Genomic DNA, 17,666 nt, shown 5'->3' with positions numbered 1-17,666 from the left:
GGTGATATGGTTTGGCTGTGTCCTCAACCAAATCTCATCTTGAATTTTAGCTCCCATAATTCCCAGGTGTCATGGGAGGGACCCAGGGGGAGGTAACTAAATCATGGGGGCAGGTCTTTCCCATACTCACTCCTAGTAGTGAGTAAGTCTCACGAGAGCCAATTGTTTTATAAATGGGAGTTGTCCTGTGTAAGCATTCTCTTTGCCTGCCACCATGTAAAATGTGACTTTGCTCCTCCTTCACCTTCTGCCATGATTGTGAGGCCTCTGCAGCCATGTGGAACTGTGAGTTGATCAAACCTCTTTCCTTTATAAATTACCCAATCTCGGGTATGTCTTTATTGGCAGCATGAGAATGGGCTAATACAGAAGTCCATATTCCAAAAACTTACTGTTGCCACCTAAACTATTTTCAGGAATTCTCCCTTTTAGTTTCACAAAACCAAAAATAACACCCACAACTTCCTTATCTAATAAACAGAAAGACTACACATAACACATGTTAACTACAATCAAGACAAGGTTCTTAGGCAGGTCATGGTAGAGGAGCTTTTATTATATTAGCTTTCCAGTAGATTGACTCATTTAAAAAGGGAAAAAATCTTTTTGGAAACATTGAAGAGTAAACAAAAGAAGGCAGGAACTGGATGGACTCAGTTGAAAGATCTCACTGGGTGAGATCCATGTTTATATGGCTTTTCCCCCAGAGGGCACACCCTAGTTAGAAAGGTGCAGTATGATTGGTTTGAGGTGTGAAAGGATGGAACTCAGGACTGCTAGAGTAGCTGTAATTAGGAGAAATCTCAGAAAAGAGGGAGTCACAGAAGAAGGGAATCCCAAAATCTGTGTATAAGTCCTGGGCTGACCTCTGAGCTGCATATGATAAGAGAAACTCGAAGACACCCAATGGAAAGTAAGAGGTGGAAGTCTGCAAACACAGAGTAGGGACCACTTTCTTTTTTTTCACCACAAGACCCAAAGACTGGGGCTTGAACCCTGCCAAGTTAGATGTGTTTGGTAAATACTCTGAGCTTCCTACAGACCTAGCCTAAAAAAGAAACCCAAGCCCCAACAAGTTCAAGGTGATCAGCCAGTAATTTAACTGCTTTCTATTATTATGAGAATAAAAGGAAGATTATACAGACACCCAGGCTAGTTATGAGCACACATCACAGGTATTTAAAAAGATTTGGTTCTATTTTAAAATGACTAATAAAGCTTAGCATTAGGGAGGTGGTAGACAGGGGAAAATGGCTAACAGGACAGTGTGAGGGAAATACAAAGCTTCTAATACTTGGTTTAGGATAAGAAAATGTGTTAAATAGACACAACTCCCTCTCCCTCTCCCTCTCCCCACGGTCTCCCTCTCTCTCTCCCTCTTTCAATGGTCTCCCTCTGATGCCCAGCCGAAGCTGGACTGTACTGCTGCCATCTCTGCTCACTGCAACCTCCCTGCCCGATTCTCCTGCCTCAACCTTCCGAGTGCCTGCGATTGCAGGCGCGCGCCGCCACGCCTGATTGGTTTTCGTATTTTTTTGGTGGAGACAGGGTTTCGCTGTGTTGGCCGGGCTGGTCTCCAGCTCCTATCCGGGAGTGATCTGCCAGCCTCGGCCTCCCGAGGTGCCGGGATTGCAGATGAAGTCTCATTCACTCAGTGCTCAATGTTGCCCAGGCTGGAGTGCAGTGGCGTGATCTCGGCTCGCTACAACCTCCACCTCCCAGCCGCCTGCCTTGGTCTCCCAAAGTACCGAGATTGCAGCCTCTGCCCGGCCGCCACCCTGTCTGGGAAGTGAGGAGCATCTCTGCCTGGCCACCCATCGTCTGGGATGTGAGGAGCCCCTCTGCCCGGCTGCCCAGTCTGGGAAGTGAGGAGCGCCTCTTCCCGGCCACCATCCCGTCTAGGAAGTGAGGAGCATATCTGCCCGGCCGCCCATTGTCTGAGATGTGGGGAGCGCCTCTTCCCCGCCGCCCCGTCTGGGAAGTGAGGAGCGCCTCTGCCCAGCGCGACCCCGTCTGGGAGGTGAGGAGCGTCTCTGGCCGGCTGCCCCGTCTGAGAGGAGCCCCTCCACCCGGCAGCCGCCCCCTTTGAGAACTGAGGAGCCCCTCCGCTCGGCAGCCGCCCCGTCCGGGAAGTGAGGAGCATCTCCGCCCAGCAGCCACCCCATCCGGGAGGTGGGGGGGGTCAGCCCCTGCCCGGCCAGCCGCCCCGTCCGGGAGGGAGGTGGGGGGTCAGCCCCCAGCCGGCCAGCCACCCCGTCCGGGAGGGAGGTGGGGGGCAGCCCCCGCCCGGCCAGCCGCCCCGTCTGGGAGGTGGGGGGGTGCCTCTGCCCGGCCACCCCTTCTGGGAAGTGAGGAGCCCCTCTGCCCGGCCGCCACCCAGTCTGGGAGGTGTACCCAACAGCTCATTGAGAACGGGCCATGATGACGATGGCGGTTTTGTCGAATAGAAAAGGGGGAAATGTGGGGAAAAGATAGAGAAATCAGATTGTTGCTGTGTCTGTGTAGAAAGAAGTAGACATAGGGGACTCCATTTTGTTCTGTACTAAGAAAAATTCTTCTGCCTTGGGATGCTGTTGATCTATGACCTTACCCCCAACCCGGTGCTCTCTGAAACATGTGCTGTGTCCACTCAGGGTTAAATGGATTAAGGGCGGTGCAAGATGTGCTTTGTTAAACAGATGCTTGAAGGCAGCATGCTCCTTAAGACTCATCACCACTCCCTAATCTCAAGTACCCAAGGACACAAACACTGCGGAAGGCCCCAGGGTCCTCTGCCTAGGAAAACCAGAGACCTGTGTTCACTTGTTTATCTGCTGACCTTCCCTCCACTATTGTCCTATGACCCTGCCAAATCCCCCTCTGCGAGAAACACCCAAGAATGATCAATAAAAAAAAAAAAAAAATAGACACAACACATTATAAAATATTATCAAACATGAATTTATTTAGAAACAAAATAAAAACATGCTATTTGAACAAACTTTTTTATAAAGAATAAGTTGACTGAAAAGCAGTTTTAAATAACATCAACTCACAAATGACTTTTAGAAGCCAAATAAACATTTCTATTTTAGAGAATAGTATGTAATACATAACTTAAAAGCATATAGAACACATATTCCTACATTCTTAAAAATAAGAGATTGTGATTCCACAGAGAATTTTTCAAATATCTAAAGTATGTCCTGTTAAACCAACAATTTGCTTCCAAACAGGAGTCTCTTTTGAGAAGCTAAATATTAATTTTCAAACAACTATTTCTCCATTTGTTAACTGGAATCATTCATATTAAAACAAAGGTCTTTATGTCAATGTATGTTAATATGGCTGAAGGCTCCAGCCCTGAGTTATTTTTTTACTTCCTTAAATTCATAATTACAACATATATCAATTTGAGGTATCATGACAAAAACAGAAACAAAAGACACAATGGTAGATGAGAATCTATCTCCCTGTGGAAGAGGCAAAATTAGTGTGGACCTCATTTTTCTGACCTATAAAACTAGGAAGTATAATCACATTACTTGCGACAATTTTTCCTTCTAAAATGCCATGAATTTGAAGGTAGACTTCATGCCTTTCTCCATCATAACAATAGAGTTAAGAATATTGATTTTGGAGTCAGGCTGCCTGGTTACGAATCCCAGCTCAGACAGTTATTTTGTAATCTTGGAAAAAATACTTCACCTCTCTATACTAAGTTTCCCCATGTGTACGGTACTGATCTCATAGAGTTGTTATGAGACTAACATGGGTAAATCACTTTATAACAGTGGCTGATACAATGTTACACGAGTTTTCAAATGAGATATCATCACTCATTGTTTGTGGGAAAAGATTCTAACTATGTCATATGAATGAAGTATGCCATATGCAAAGATCATATCATATGGGAAGATATATTAGGTTAAATCGTCTAATGATTACAAAACACAAAGTGAGGTTTTTTTTGTTTGTTTTTTTTACATTTATCTTAGCTTCATACAACGCAGAAAACATTTGAATAACATTAGATAAATAGATATAAATGATTATAAATCTTTGTGGTTTAAAACAATAAAACACTATAAAAGAGTTTAATTCAGACTAATAAAAGTTTAACTACAACACTTGGAAATGTAGCACAATATCTCCACCTAGTGGACACCTTAAAAATTTTTACAGATAGTGCTCAGCCTTTTTTTATCACTGGCGGAAAACTTTTCAAATAGAAGTAATTTCACGAATATAGAGGGATAAAAAATAGAAAATAAGTTAAACACTATATTACCAGTGCTCCAAAACATCACCGCTAAAATACATTTTAGTAAGTTGTATAACTCAAATGTTTTTCTAAAACAGGGTGTAATAGAGTCAAATAGTAGTTTTGGTTTAGAAACTTAAAATATACCAAAGACAGCATGTAAGTCATCAGAAATACTTGACCATGACTTAGCAATTAATTTTTAAAAATTAGCTGTAACAAAATTTAGAATTTAAAAATTACAGAGCTTTAAAGATGTCAGATACCTTTAAAAGACATTTGAACTACTTGCTATCTAACTCTTGTGTAGTATCTTTGATAAATAGAAATCTTATCTCCAATGAATGAGAATCTTACTTTTTTTCTGGGCTTGTTTCCCTAAAAAGACTAAACAATTAGAAGTTATGCTTTTCATGATTTGCAATCTAATTGTTGACCTCTGATTTACACTTCAGGCAATACAGAATTAAGTCCAATCTTTCAAATAATTATTCTTCAAGAGAGCTTATCAAGTGATAGAATTTCCACTTATCCAAATTAAATATCCCACATAATTTTAGTCATTTATCTTACAACAAAATTATAAGGAGTTATCATGTTGTTCATGCTCTTTTGAACAGTTTGTAGCATTTTAAAAAATGACTATATCCAGTACAAAAATAACACGTCATGAATGGTTTGGAAACTGCAGAGAGCAAACATGGATTTTCACCTCTCTCTCCATATACTACTTCTTTTGATTTAAAAAAAATTGAAAAAAAACTTTTCATAGTGAGGCAGAATATGACGGTCAAAAACTCACAGGCTTGGGAGTCATACCAATCTATGTTCATTTAGTGACAGTGTGGACTTTGGGCAAATCACCTGACCTGACCGACCTTCAGTTTCTTCAGCAGTCAAAGAGAAATCAACATCTGCCTCATAGAAATATAAATGTAGCATCAAATGAGACAATATTTGTAAATCAGCTAGTATAATGCCTAAAACATTATAGGTGTTCAATGAATGATGGCAACCATCATTATTATTGTTACTTTTTCTCCTTTTTTCATCTTATATATGCCATACACACACATATATGGTTCAACTAAACTGAATTAAGTTTCACTGTGAAAAACCAATACATTTAATATTTTTCTTGTTGGAAGCTGGCACAGTGGCTCATTGTAAATCCTAGCACTTTGGGAGGCCAAGGTGGGAGGATCACTTGAGGCAGGTGTTTTGAGACCAGCCCACACAACATAGTGACACCCTGTCTCAATTCTTACAAAAAAAAAAAAGGAGAAATTATATGTATACACACACACATACATTACATATATACAAATTTGTATATATAAATACGTATATATTTGTATATATAAATATATATATATGTATTTTCTTTTCCTTGTTAGAAAAATACTGTATTGTCTTTTGGTCTGATGGTGATAGGCTGAGATAAAATTTAATTAACATTAAATTCATCAAAAATTTATCTCTTAAAAAAGCACAATATAGAGATATTATATTGTGACAGAATTTCTTACCCTAGAAATAATTTTTCAAATCTCAAATATTAAATATTAGTGTTGACTCATGGATATATGTTAAAAATATGTCCTCAATCTCTATTTTTATTATAATTTTCTCAGTTACACAAGTTTTTGTATATTGGAAACGTCAGTTGTCAACATTAAATACATAAAAATGCCCTATATAAAAAATAATTAACAGCTATTCCTAGAGTGGTAAAATGTAGCCCAACTAAAAAAAACAAAGTATTTGTAATTAGTTGAAATGTCTTTTACCTTTAAATTCTTTAACCTGTTATTCGTTGAAGGTTACTGATTTTTCTTATTTTAAATAGAAATAAGAATATTTTCTTATTTTAAATAAAAAGCAATTATTTTGAAATTATACCCTTAATAGGGTATAAAGTTTCTTTAATAAGAAACTTTCCTTTAAAGTGTTATAACCTTTTAATGGTTGAAAGTTATTTGTTTTTCTTATTTTAAATAAACAGTAATTATGTTGAAATCATATCCTATCAAAGAAACAACATGTTTACAAGTAAATACATGTATAAGCATTAAATGCTAGCAGGGGTCTCCAATCTTTTGGCTTCCCTGGGCCACACTGGAAGAACCATCTTGGGCCACACATAAAATACACGAACACTAATGATAGCTGATGAGCTAAAAAATAAAATAAAATAAAATAAAATAATAAATAAAATAAAATAAAATAAAATCACAAAATATCTCATCATGTTTTAAGAAAGCTTACAAAATTTGTGTTGGGGCCGCATTCAAAGCCATCCTGGGCTGCATGTGGCCTGTGGGTTGAACAAGCTTGCACTAAGGCAAATAAAAATTGTTAACACTGGGTCAGAAAATTACACAGAAAAATGTTTAGGATGACTCTTATTATGAAACATGATTTACTTCCTAAAATTAGCCACGGTTATGTAGGATGTTTTTTCTATTCACTTCACTCTATACTAAAAACTTCATTCAGTATATATTTACTCAATATTTATCATATGACATACTTATAAATATTATGAGTATATGGCAGGAATGAATCCTTTTTAAAATAAGGTTATACACATACCAATCAGACACTGACTAGAGTTAGGACAAATACTATTCTCATTTGAAATGAGGACTAAAGACTAAACCACTTGCCTTATTGATCCCAGAGCCACAACCAAATATAAAAATCTTAACTCCCATGTTAAATGTTTTTTTCTACAAGCCCACAGTTCCTAAGTCATATTTCAATTTCCATTTAAAAATTTTCAAATTTATATCACAATTCTTACTTGCTTCACTTTTTAATGAAATTCCAATTACTTCAAAGATAATAAACGCTTGCTAACCTAATAAACACAAAATTTATTTCTTCATGTGAATAAATATTTTATTTAAAAGTGAGTCCAAAATAACAGTCCACTATTTAGGTGGTATAAATAAAAATGGTAGATCCCTTCCTCTCTCCTCTCTTCCAACAATTCTAAGGAAAATAATATCAAGCCAAGTGGCAATTAAGTTCAAACTAGAAATACATTTCATTAAGCTACGTATTTATTAGAAATAAATTACATTAGGCTATTTACACAAGTTATTTTATGACTGGCTATGCACATTTCAGAAATAACTCTAAGAAGACAAAGAAAAGGCCAGACAGCTAAAATAATTTATCTTGCCAAAATGAGATGCTAAGTTTAAACTGAGAGATGCTATCTTTCCAAATCATTTAAATACATAGACGCAGTTCAAAAGATTCCTGACTATCCATTAATGGAAAACATAAACGTTAACAAAATTCACAGCATACCTGAATCTTACTCATGCTACCTAAAGATAACATATCTCTAGAATTTCACAGAAGATAGAATCAGTTCAAAATGATGTATTACTGAACCTATAATGATTTATGGACTAGATATTTTTATGACACTTTTCAAAATAGACATACTCACAGACTTTAGTAATGGTAACTGTAGGGCTCCAGATGCCCTCGAGCAGGGCAATATTTTTTTCATAATCACCTAATTTTAATCAATTCAGCTAAGTCTAATGTTTAAAAATTCATGAAAAAATATCTATCTACTCAATAACTTTTGAAAACACAAATATAACTAAGAATGTTTCTAAAAGCAAGGATCTAAACACCTAAGAATGGTCTTCTCAGTTGTTTCAAGTGAATGACTTTGAGTTTAGTATCATTTCTTGAACGACTAAAGGCAAAATGATCTGTTGTGCCAAGTTCTTACATAATCATTTTATCTGTTATCTATTTTGGAAAATTCACCAGCAAATGGCCATCTTTGAACTGCCTAGAAAATTTAACGAAGACATTTATCTTAAATTCGAAAGTATTGATAAGCATTCCTGTTTTAAAATAATAAATAGTTGAAAATAGCACCTTTTAATACATGGCATTCTTTTCTTAAAATGCCAAGTACTATATTTTATGTATTTTATAAAAAATGTGGAAGATTAACCTGTTTCTCTCTGAATGTAGATTTTCACCAAAACATCTCTTAAACAGCAGGGACTCAACACTTAAAAATGAACTAGAAGAGCTGGGCACAGTGGCTCACGCCTGTAATCCCAGCACTTTGGGAGGCGAGGCAGGTGGATTACCTGAGGTCAGGAGTTCGAGACCAGCCTGGCTAACACGGTGAAACCCCGGCTCTACTAAAAATAGAAAAAATTAGCCAGGCTTGGTGGTGGGCGCCTATAATCTCAGCTACTCGGGAGGCTGAGGCAGGAGAACTGCTTGAACCCAGGAGGTGGAGGTTTCAGTGAGCCAAGATCGCGCCATTGCATTCCAGCCTGGGGGACAAGAGCGAGACTTCTCCTCAAAGACAAAAACAAACAAAAAAAGATATAGAACAGTGATCCCTCCAAAGAGCAGTCTTCTTTAATTACAGGGTAGAATATTTTCCTCAATTTTGCCAGACTAGATCAGAGTGGAAGCTTCTCCTCTCAGAAGTATTCCTAAATACAAAATCCTTGCATTAATATTATCAGACAAAAAGTTACTTTCCCTAAATTACACATTCTTTTTTCAATTTTGACTTCCCAGATTTAGTTCTCCACTATAGTAAATTAATGACAAAAGTATAATTTCTTTGAGTGTCCTCTCTCATCTAATTTTTAAGAAGTCTGGGTAAAACACGTTTTTCTACAATCACTGTTATAACTAATGCCGATCTATTTTCTGAGTACTAGAGTACAACCAAAAAATGGCCTGCATTTATTACTCAAATTATACTTGTAATTTTCACCTGCACACAATTTTATATTTGTAAATGTAGACTCATCACTTAAAACTCAGAGAAGCAAAATTTGACATTGAGGGGAAAGTAATTTGTTCACTTATAGCTACTTTTAAAGTTTAGAAACATAAAATTATGTTAAAAGATGAGTTCTATTCACAATTCTAAGTTTACATGTCAAAGTTAACATGCCCAAATAATACTTTCCTGTAATGGAATGACAACCCAAAAAATACACTCAAAATAATAAACACAAAATTCAAAAAGTAACACAAAATAATCCTACCCCAGCAGTTGTTCCCTAATCTACAAAGTCAGACCAAAGGATTTCTCAACTTTCTTTCAATTCTGACTTTTTTTAATAGATAATGGAATCAAACACTAGTCACCTTTAGCTTTATATTACCTAAGAAGTCACTTATTTTTTAACCTCTCAGTAAAGATACTGAGAGTTATTTAAAAGGTATCAGCTAAGATATTATCTCCTGATCCAACAATCCCACTTCTGGCTATTTATCCAGAAGATTTGAAATCCGTATGTCAAAGAGAAGTCTGCACTCTATGTTCATTGCAGACAAGTCACAATAACCAAGTGATTCGATCAACCTAAGTGTCCATCCATGGATGAATGGATAAAGAAAATGTGGCATATATATACAAAAAAATACTATTCAGCCTTTAAAAAGGAAGAAATTGTGTCATTTGCAACAATATGGATGATCGTGGAGGACATTATGGTAAGTGAAATAAGCCAAGCACAGAAAGACAAATACCACATGATCTCACTTATTTGTGTAATCTAAAACAATTAAACTCACAGAAGTAGAGAGAAGAATGATGGTTGCTAGAGGCCGGGGATGTGGGAATAGGGAGATGACAATCAAAAGATACAAAGCCTCAATTAGATAGAAGGAATATGTTTGACTTTTTTTAGATCTATTACACAACATGGTGAATACAGCTAATAATTAAGCACTGTATGTACATTTCAATACTGTTGAGAGTACATTTCAAATGTTTTCATCACAAAATATGTCAAATATTTGAGGTGATGGATAGATTAGCTTTATTTAATCATCCCACATTATATTCAAAAATCATAATGCCACTTCGTACCTCATAAGTATATACAACTATAATTTGATATATAATAAAAAATTTTTAAAGGTAGTCTCCTAACAATCATATGAGGATTATCCTAAAATGTCCTTTAGTAACTGTCATGGACTGAAAAGTATCCCATGAAGAGACAATGTCTACTCAGAACATGTGAATACAAACTTACTTGGAACATGGGTCTTTGTAAACATAATTAAGGGTCTCCAGACACAATCACCCTAGATCAGGGTGGGCCCTACATTCAAAGACACTGTCCTTAAAAGGTAATGAAAAGACAGAGGGAAAGGCCGTGTGAACGCAGAGGCAGAGACTGGAGTGAAGATTGCTGTCTGCAATACTTAGACAAGATATGCCCATAAGCCAAAGAACTCCAAGAATTGCAGACAGCCACAAGATATTAGGAAACAGACATAGAATGGATTCTTCCTTAGAGCCTCCAGAAGGAACCAACTCTGCTGACACTTTGATTTTAGACTTCTGGCCTCCAGACTGTGAGGAAAATTGTTGTAAGCACCCAAGTTTGTGGTCATTTGTTATGGCAGCCCTGGGAAGCTAATACAATATGTATTTCATAAAGGAAATCCCCCTTTTAAAGGATTATAATCAACACAATTTGTCTTTGGCCATCATACATTTCATATTAGGAATTAGTGAAAGAGCTTCATCATTTCTGGATTGTAAACAATAACCAACAATTTGATGCCTAGACAGACATATATGAGTCTCTACTTTATCATTTACTATCTATGCATTTCTATTTTGACTTAGAATTAAAATTATATTTACTGAAATGTTAAGGAACTTTTCAGTCAAGAATATCACCTGACCATTTGTAAATATTTGCTAACACATTGTTATTAGGTTGGTACAAAAGTAATTGTGGTTTTGCCATTACTTTCAATGGCAAAAACCACAATTACTTTTGCACTAACCTAATAGTTCTCTCTGAAGAGAATAAATTAGTTCTAGTAATATGAAGCATACCCAGTTTTAATAAACTTATACATACAAAACATTCCCAAGCTTTGTGAGGGGCCAACATTACGAGAGCGATATGAGATATCTGAAAACAATTTTATTTTCCCATTATTCAGGCTTTTGAAGCAGGTCTTAAGCTTTCCCAGTTCTTTGCCACTTAATTTCTTACATATGTTTAAAATATATATTAAAAAAACTAATGTAATTTGAGGACCACCACTGCACCTAAAAGAAATTCCATGTTTTCCACCTATTCAGTTGTTCTTTGTAGAAATGGTCTAATTATTAAGTCCATTTTTACAGTTCAAAATATCACTGATATTACCACATAAACCTTTGAATGTCCTGACTATTTGGCCACTGAAAAGTCTTGTTCAGAAAGATGTAAAAAGTTATGAAATTAACAATTGCATAGCAACTCAGTTCACAAACAAGTCTGGATGTGGGAGGCAGAGTTATGTTAAGCCTATAAATGACATAAGGTAAAATGAAGTAACGAAATTCCAGCAGTTTCTGAGGAACTATAACAATGAACAAGCATATGAAAAACATTAAATTCCAAAAAATTGGCTTTGATTTCAATGAGTCAGCTATACTCCAACCAGCAAATATATAGGCTGGAACTAACAAATATTTCAGAATTGCATATCTTTGAAAAACTCTTTTCCACACATAGAAAGTATAATGTCTATTGTCTGCTAGCAAGTATTTATGAGCATAAGTGAATTTCCAAACTAAAAACACAGAGACTAAGGTAACCACCAAAAACAGAATTCCATGTTTCCAAACTAAGGAAAGAAAAGTCTTAATTTTGCTAGGAGACAGGAGATGAGGAAAAGAAAAAAAGAGAGTAAATGAAAAAAAGTAGAATAGTTGAGGAAAATGAAGACAGGCTTCATGACTACTCCGATCGCCAATAACAATTCCACCATTAACTACTACAAAAGCACAAAACAGAAATCCCAGAAGGATGTAGGGCCAAGTCAAACAGAAAAGCATACTCAAGTTTTTAAAGGACATGGAATAAGCCAAAAGAAACTGAAGAATTTTTCTGAATTCTGCAAATGGTCCTTTAATAGGTGGAAGTCTGTCTTCCTTCTTTTGTAGCTCAGTTTTCCAAGCCTCAGTTAACTTTTGTGCAATGACATTCCCTGCACAGAAGACAGCCCAGATGATATTTGTTTGCCGAAACATGAAGCCACAAAATCCAAGGAAGGCTGAAGTTTTATGATTTCCATAAAGACACATCAAATATGCAAAAAGAGTAAAAAACATAGATCCTGCTTCTGTATAATAAAGGAAGTTAAAAAAATAAAGTGTTGGAAATACTGCTAGTGTTAATGTTGACAAGACTCTCTGGATACTTGAGGCAGCCTTGGAGGAAGAAAAAACACAGATACAATTATTTTAATGATAAATGCTATTTCTGCTTACCTAATGAAGAGATTTATTTAAAACTACTCAACTACTCAAACCTTATTTAAATAAAATTAATCAATATTAATCTTATCTCTGGCTTTGCAAAAACACAATAAACATTTATAAGAACACTTCCTGGTACTTTTTATTTATACCTATCAGTTTGGAGACCGTGTGTATGCCAAAGCTTCTATAGCTTAACACAATTTGAATCAGGCTATGATTAGTTAAGGAGTTACTGAGTGCAAGATACCGACTAAGTTCTGTGGGGACTATGGAGATAAATAGGACACAATGCTGGCTCCATTTCCCTGAGCTTATGTTTTAGTGCCTTCAATAAGGATTCACTTAGCCATAATCACCACTTTCCTTTAAGGAAATCCTTCATAACACTACACAAGGGAGAATGTAAACATGCATATGGTATTTATTTTACCATATCCAGACTTACTTTTTCAAGATGATATTTTCATGATGAAATAACGGTATTTTTCTGAAAAGTGAGCCAGTCTAAACTTATATATCTTATTTTGGCCTTTCTGACATGCTATTTCAGAATTTGAAAGTGTTCTTATGTTCTTGAATTGTATACTCCACTTAATCTAAATCACTAAATCAGACCATGTCATTTCCTTGATTAAAATTAAGGTCTCTCCATTACATGCTAAAGTTCAAAGTCCTCTCTGTGACATATGAGGGCATTCATGACCTACTTCTCTAGCCTTACATCCCTCTACTTTCTAATCCTGTAATTCCAAGACCAATTCCCTGCACCTCATTGTTCAATGCCTTTCTTCCTTTGCTTATGCTGTTTGTCTCCCCAGGATTAATTCCTCACCCTACACAGCCCTATCCGTTCATCAGGACTCAGCTCTGGTACCATCTTCTCTGTGAGGACTTACTGAATGCCACATACTCCTCTCCCTCCCAGAAAAGCAGTAAGTGTTTCCCTGCTCCTTCTCTGTGTCCTCATAGCATCTTATGTCTACTACTCTATCATAATTGACACTACTGAAATAATCTCTTAAGGTTAAAAATAATTATTAGAGTTAATATTTACTGAGCCCTTACTATATATCTGGCACTATTTGAAGCATCTTCCATTTATTAAGTTTCCTTGTTCCTTTATAACAGTTCTATAAGGCAGATTCTATTGTTATTCTTATTTAACAGATGAAGACATGGAGCCACTAAGGGTTAACCTGCCCACAGTAACAAAACTGGTTAAGTGGCAGGGAGAGAATTCTAACCCAGGCAATCGACCTCCGGGGCCTGCACTATTACCACATCAAAAGTCCTCAGGTAAAGTCTGTTTTCCCTACTGAATATATACGTTTTACAAGAAAAAGACTGCCTCATTTATCTCTGTAGTCCCAGTCCCCAGCACATGGAATAAGCTCAGTAAGTATTTATTGAACTGGTTTGACTCACTTAACAAATATTTACTTTAGAGTTTACAAATAAGTTATTCAAGTATTTAAATACAAATTTATTCTAAAATGGAGATGGAGAATTTAAATTTACCTTTACATAATATACAAAAAATACAAAGTTACAAAGTGTTAAAGACATTTTTCACCAAATCTCATAAAACTAATTCATTGTAATTGTGGACCTGACTACACATAAACTTGTAATTAAGTATTTTGAAACATACCTTGTTTCTGGGTTGTACCTTGTGGAAAAGCAAATATAGTAAATAGAAGTTGCCAACACTGAAGAGAAGATTAACAAATCTGAGCATCCCAATGGAGCAGACAACATGTTCAGACCATGCAAAGATCCAAATGGCAGGTTTGACCACTCCAACTGACACCAGGTACAAGCCAGGTAATGTAGTAATCATGGGATCCCACTTTAAAATGAAAGAAAATGAAGTAAAAGCAAGAGGTAATACGAACAAGACAGACACAAATATGTCAAGCCCAAGTCTCATCTCCAGCAACAATCAGAAATTTTGAGAAGTTAGTCTATGACAAGATTAAGTAAGTCCTTGGCAGAACAGGATTAGTTTTTCTTATTTTTTGCCCCCGGACCAGCTTAGTGATGGTTCAGGTAGCAGCAACCAATAAACAACAACTTAAAATCTATTTCTATTTTCCAAGAAATGTTCTTTAAAAGCCTTTATTTTGATAAATAAACTGCAAATGCTCCAGTTTTTAAAAGCATGGAAACATTGTTTGGGACTCTAAGTTTAGGAAAACATTTGGACCACAGGCTCCATGATGACAGCTGACATAAACTGAGACAGAAATTGTGCCAAACCCTCTGTATTGTAACATTACAATATGCCCTATAGTAAAGATTATTGTCATTTTGCAGATGAGTAACCTGAATTTCTGAAACTCAGAACATCTCCAAGATCACAAAACTAGTAAATCACAGCACCAAGATTTAAGATCAGATCTTTCTCTAAAACAGACTTTATATTTCTAGCCAGTACCCTATATTGTGTCACCAGAAAAGCAGGGGATGTTTATTTTGATATTTATATGTACATACTTGCACAGTCAAATATATATTCAAAAATGATGTGACTTGACTGGTTGCCAGTTTATCCAGTCAACAGATAGTTCACTAAAAATACCCAGGGAAGGAATTTGTGATTATAAATTGTCACTTTTTGGTAGCCGAAGATCCCTCCAGTCCACCCTATCCCACCCCTAAAATGCACAGTGAGGTGCTTAACAGGTGAGCTAAAGGGAAGTTTTCTGATATTTCCAAGGAGCACCCGAATGCCTTTAATCCTGAGACAAGGAAAAACAAAGTGGGATCGATATTGTCAGCTGCCAAGAGGAGCGCTCAGTTCCCCACTAAGTATTCTCCCAGATCACTCCTCCCTGGGGATCAGATCTGCTGTTTATTCATTCATTTAATAAATATTTCACAGATCTCAGAGACAGGAACAAAAGACTATACCCAGTTTCTTTCATGTTCTGAGGCTGGGGTGGGGTGGAAAGGGACGAGTTAAGTCTAAAGATGGGAGAAGGAGCTGGGGACGCTGGGACCTTTCAGGCCTCTCCTGGGGTGGGGACAGGTTGGGCACCCCACCTGGGAAAGGGAGAAATGGCCCTCACAGTAGCGCTGCGCCTGAGGCAGGTGGAAGATCTCGTCCATGTAGGGCTCTCGCAGCGCCCGGCTGAAGGCGGAGAAGAGGAGGCAGGACACTAAAAAGGTACAGCTCAAGGCGGCCGAGAAACAGTAACCCTCTAGCTGCGCCATTCCTGCTCCCACAGCCACTGCCCAAGAACCCACTCCTGGAAAATTCTGAGCCCGGAAACCCGAGCTGGAAACTTGGGCTCGAAATGGGCGCGCTAGACAGGACTAGCCAGACGGGGCCACATACCGGAAGGCAAAGGATGCTGGGAGAGCGCGGATCCGGAAAACAGCGGGTCGCTGTTTCCTGGAGTGACGGGTTTAGATAACGGACCGGATGATTACCCTCTCCATCACATTACTCGGGGCGCACAGTGTCAAAACTTCCGGAAAGGGCGGGTCTCGGATTTCGCGAGCGCGGGAGGGGCGTGGCTTGCTGCTTTGGAAAAAAAAAAAAGCCGCTTCTTAGCTTGGATCTTTTTTCCTGCTCATTTCCATCACTTACCAGAAGGTGGCGACGTTTCCCCACGTTTCCAATTCCAAGCCCTAAAATTAACACATTTTTTTCCCCCGTTATTTCTTTTCTTTCTCTCCAGTGATCCGAATTAATTAAACCCTCAATTCCAAGACATTTCATTCCATCAACCTTGGAGTGTAGGAAGGGGGCGTTGGTTGTGATAGCAAAGACTGAGACTTTCAGATGAAAACTTGAAGAACCAGAGACCCGTCAATGCCGAATGAACTTCAGTGAGAGGAGTGTTTGTTCGTTTGTTTGTTTGTTTAGGTTAAGAGAGAACTCTTTCAAAATGTGGATGCTCTCAGAGGATTTAGTAAAATTGACACTCCTAGTGCACTCTCATAGCCATATTACCCTGTAGGATTTGGAAGAAAATATATATTTTAGAATTTGGGATGTTTTAGGTGTGCCTGTAAATTAGGTTGTTAATATTTATAAGGCAGCCTTCTGTTTTTCCTACTAAATCATAAGCGTGAACATCTTAGTGGGTGGCATTATACATCCTTTATGTTTGTAGTCCCCCAAATGGCTTTCACACAGTAGGCACTTAAATTTGTGGACTTTTATAGGCTGTGTAGACATCATCAAATTCCTGTATTCTGGGATTAGGTGTTGGGGGCAGGAGATGTGGTAAATAATTTGAAGAATGCCGAAGATAAATTATGTGTTGGAATTTTGTCTTGAGCATGGTTGGCCATGTTTTGTAGAAAAACTTTCTCTCAGGTAACCTCAGTCAGGTTGCCTTTGGCAGGCATATATCAGATTGAGTCGGGATTTAAGGTTGCAAACCTCAGAGTTCTCAATTGAGCTCTTTTTCTGGGTTAAAAATAATTCAGTATTTCTGAACTTAAGAAAGTTTCTTAAATCAAGCTGACTGCCTTTCCAGTCTGTCTCTGCCTGTTTCCTCAATGATAAGAGGAGGTAGTGGTGAATGAGGGCTGGGACGGGAATATTTACATTACTGGAATAAAATCATGTCAGGATTCTACTCTGATGTGATGCTTAGCTTTGCTTTAACCATCATCTCCCATTTTATTATTGATTCCATGCTGTACTTATCTGTTTAAGTCACTTGTAACACATCTCCAGATGATTCAGTCTTCAAGAGGTTGATGTGATCTACGAGTAATTAGCCCCTGACCTATTGACCTGCTAAATCGTGTTATATATACTCTGCAGCTTACTGACCCACCCTAGAAATAGTGGGCCGTTTTTAAAGGGAGTAGAACAAGACTAGACATTTATGCTCTCCATTTTTCTTCATAACAATTGCCACCAATAGTTTATGTTAAACATTTGACTCCTATACATGCTGCACACATCGCTTTACATAAAATGGAAAGTTTCAAGGAAATATAGGGTTTTAGGATGGCTAGGGATCTTTATTAATAATCTACTTGACTTCATTTTATAAAAGAAGCTGATTTTTAAAAAATGAATAATTTACCTAAAATTACATAAAAAATTAGTGTCAGAACCAAGTGTAGGAATTAGAACATCAGACCAAGAGTAATAAAATAACT

General features: G+C 37.2%; 1 protein-coding gene across 3 annotated transcripts, besides 1 other annotated feature; it reads right to left on the bottom strand.

The window, feature by feature from the left end:
- Positions 1-2,924: 2,924 nt before the first annotated feature.
- Positions 2,925-15,959, bottom strand: ALG10B (ALG10 alpha-1,2-glucosyltransferase B). Of its 3 annotated transcripts, none has more exons than XM_005268665.5 (3): positions 15,877-15,959; positions 14,188-14,385; positions 2,925-12,485 (listed from the first exon to the last, which is right to left on the bottom strand). In XM_005268665.5, exons 2-3 carry the CDS (start codon positions 14,374-14,376, stop codon positions 11,433-11,435), a joined length of 1,242 nt encoding a protein of 413 aa, XP_005268722.1. In that variant the 5' UTR covers positions 14,377-14,385; positions 15,877-15,959; the 3' UTR covers positions 2,925-11,432. The 3 variants fall into 3 exon arrangements, with proteins under 3 accessions (XP_005268722.1, NP_001013642.2, NP_001295269.2); NM_001013620.4 differs by lacking the exon at positions 15,877-15,959 and adding an exon at positions 15,582-15,872; NM_001308340.2 differs by lacking the exon at positions 15,877-15,959 and adding an exon at positions 15,582-15,872 and having other exon boundaries at positions 2,925-8,733.
- Positions 15,602-16,801: an enhancer, noted in NCBI's record as "MED14-independent group 3 enhancer chr12:38709647-38710846 (GRCh37/hg19 assembly coordinates)". NCBI's record gives its function as "activates an origin of replication core promoter dependent on BRD2, BRD4, P300/CBP and CDK7 cofactors, and independent of MED14, by STARR-seq in HCT116 cells {active_cell/tissue: HCT116}" and the evidence as "EXISTENCE:reporter gene assay evidence [ECO:0000049][PMID:35650434]".

The sequence above is a fragment of the Homo sapiens genome, chromosome 12, assembly GCF_000001405.40.
Source record: "Homo sapiens chromosome 12, GRCh38.p14 Primary Assembly".
Lineage (NCBI taxonomy): Eukaryota > Metazoa > Chordata > Mammalia > Primates > Hominidae > Homo > Homo sapiens.
Note: the sequence above shows the minus strand (reverse complement) of the source record. Positions and strands in the feature narration are given on the sequence as shown.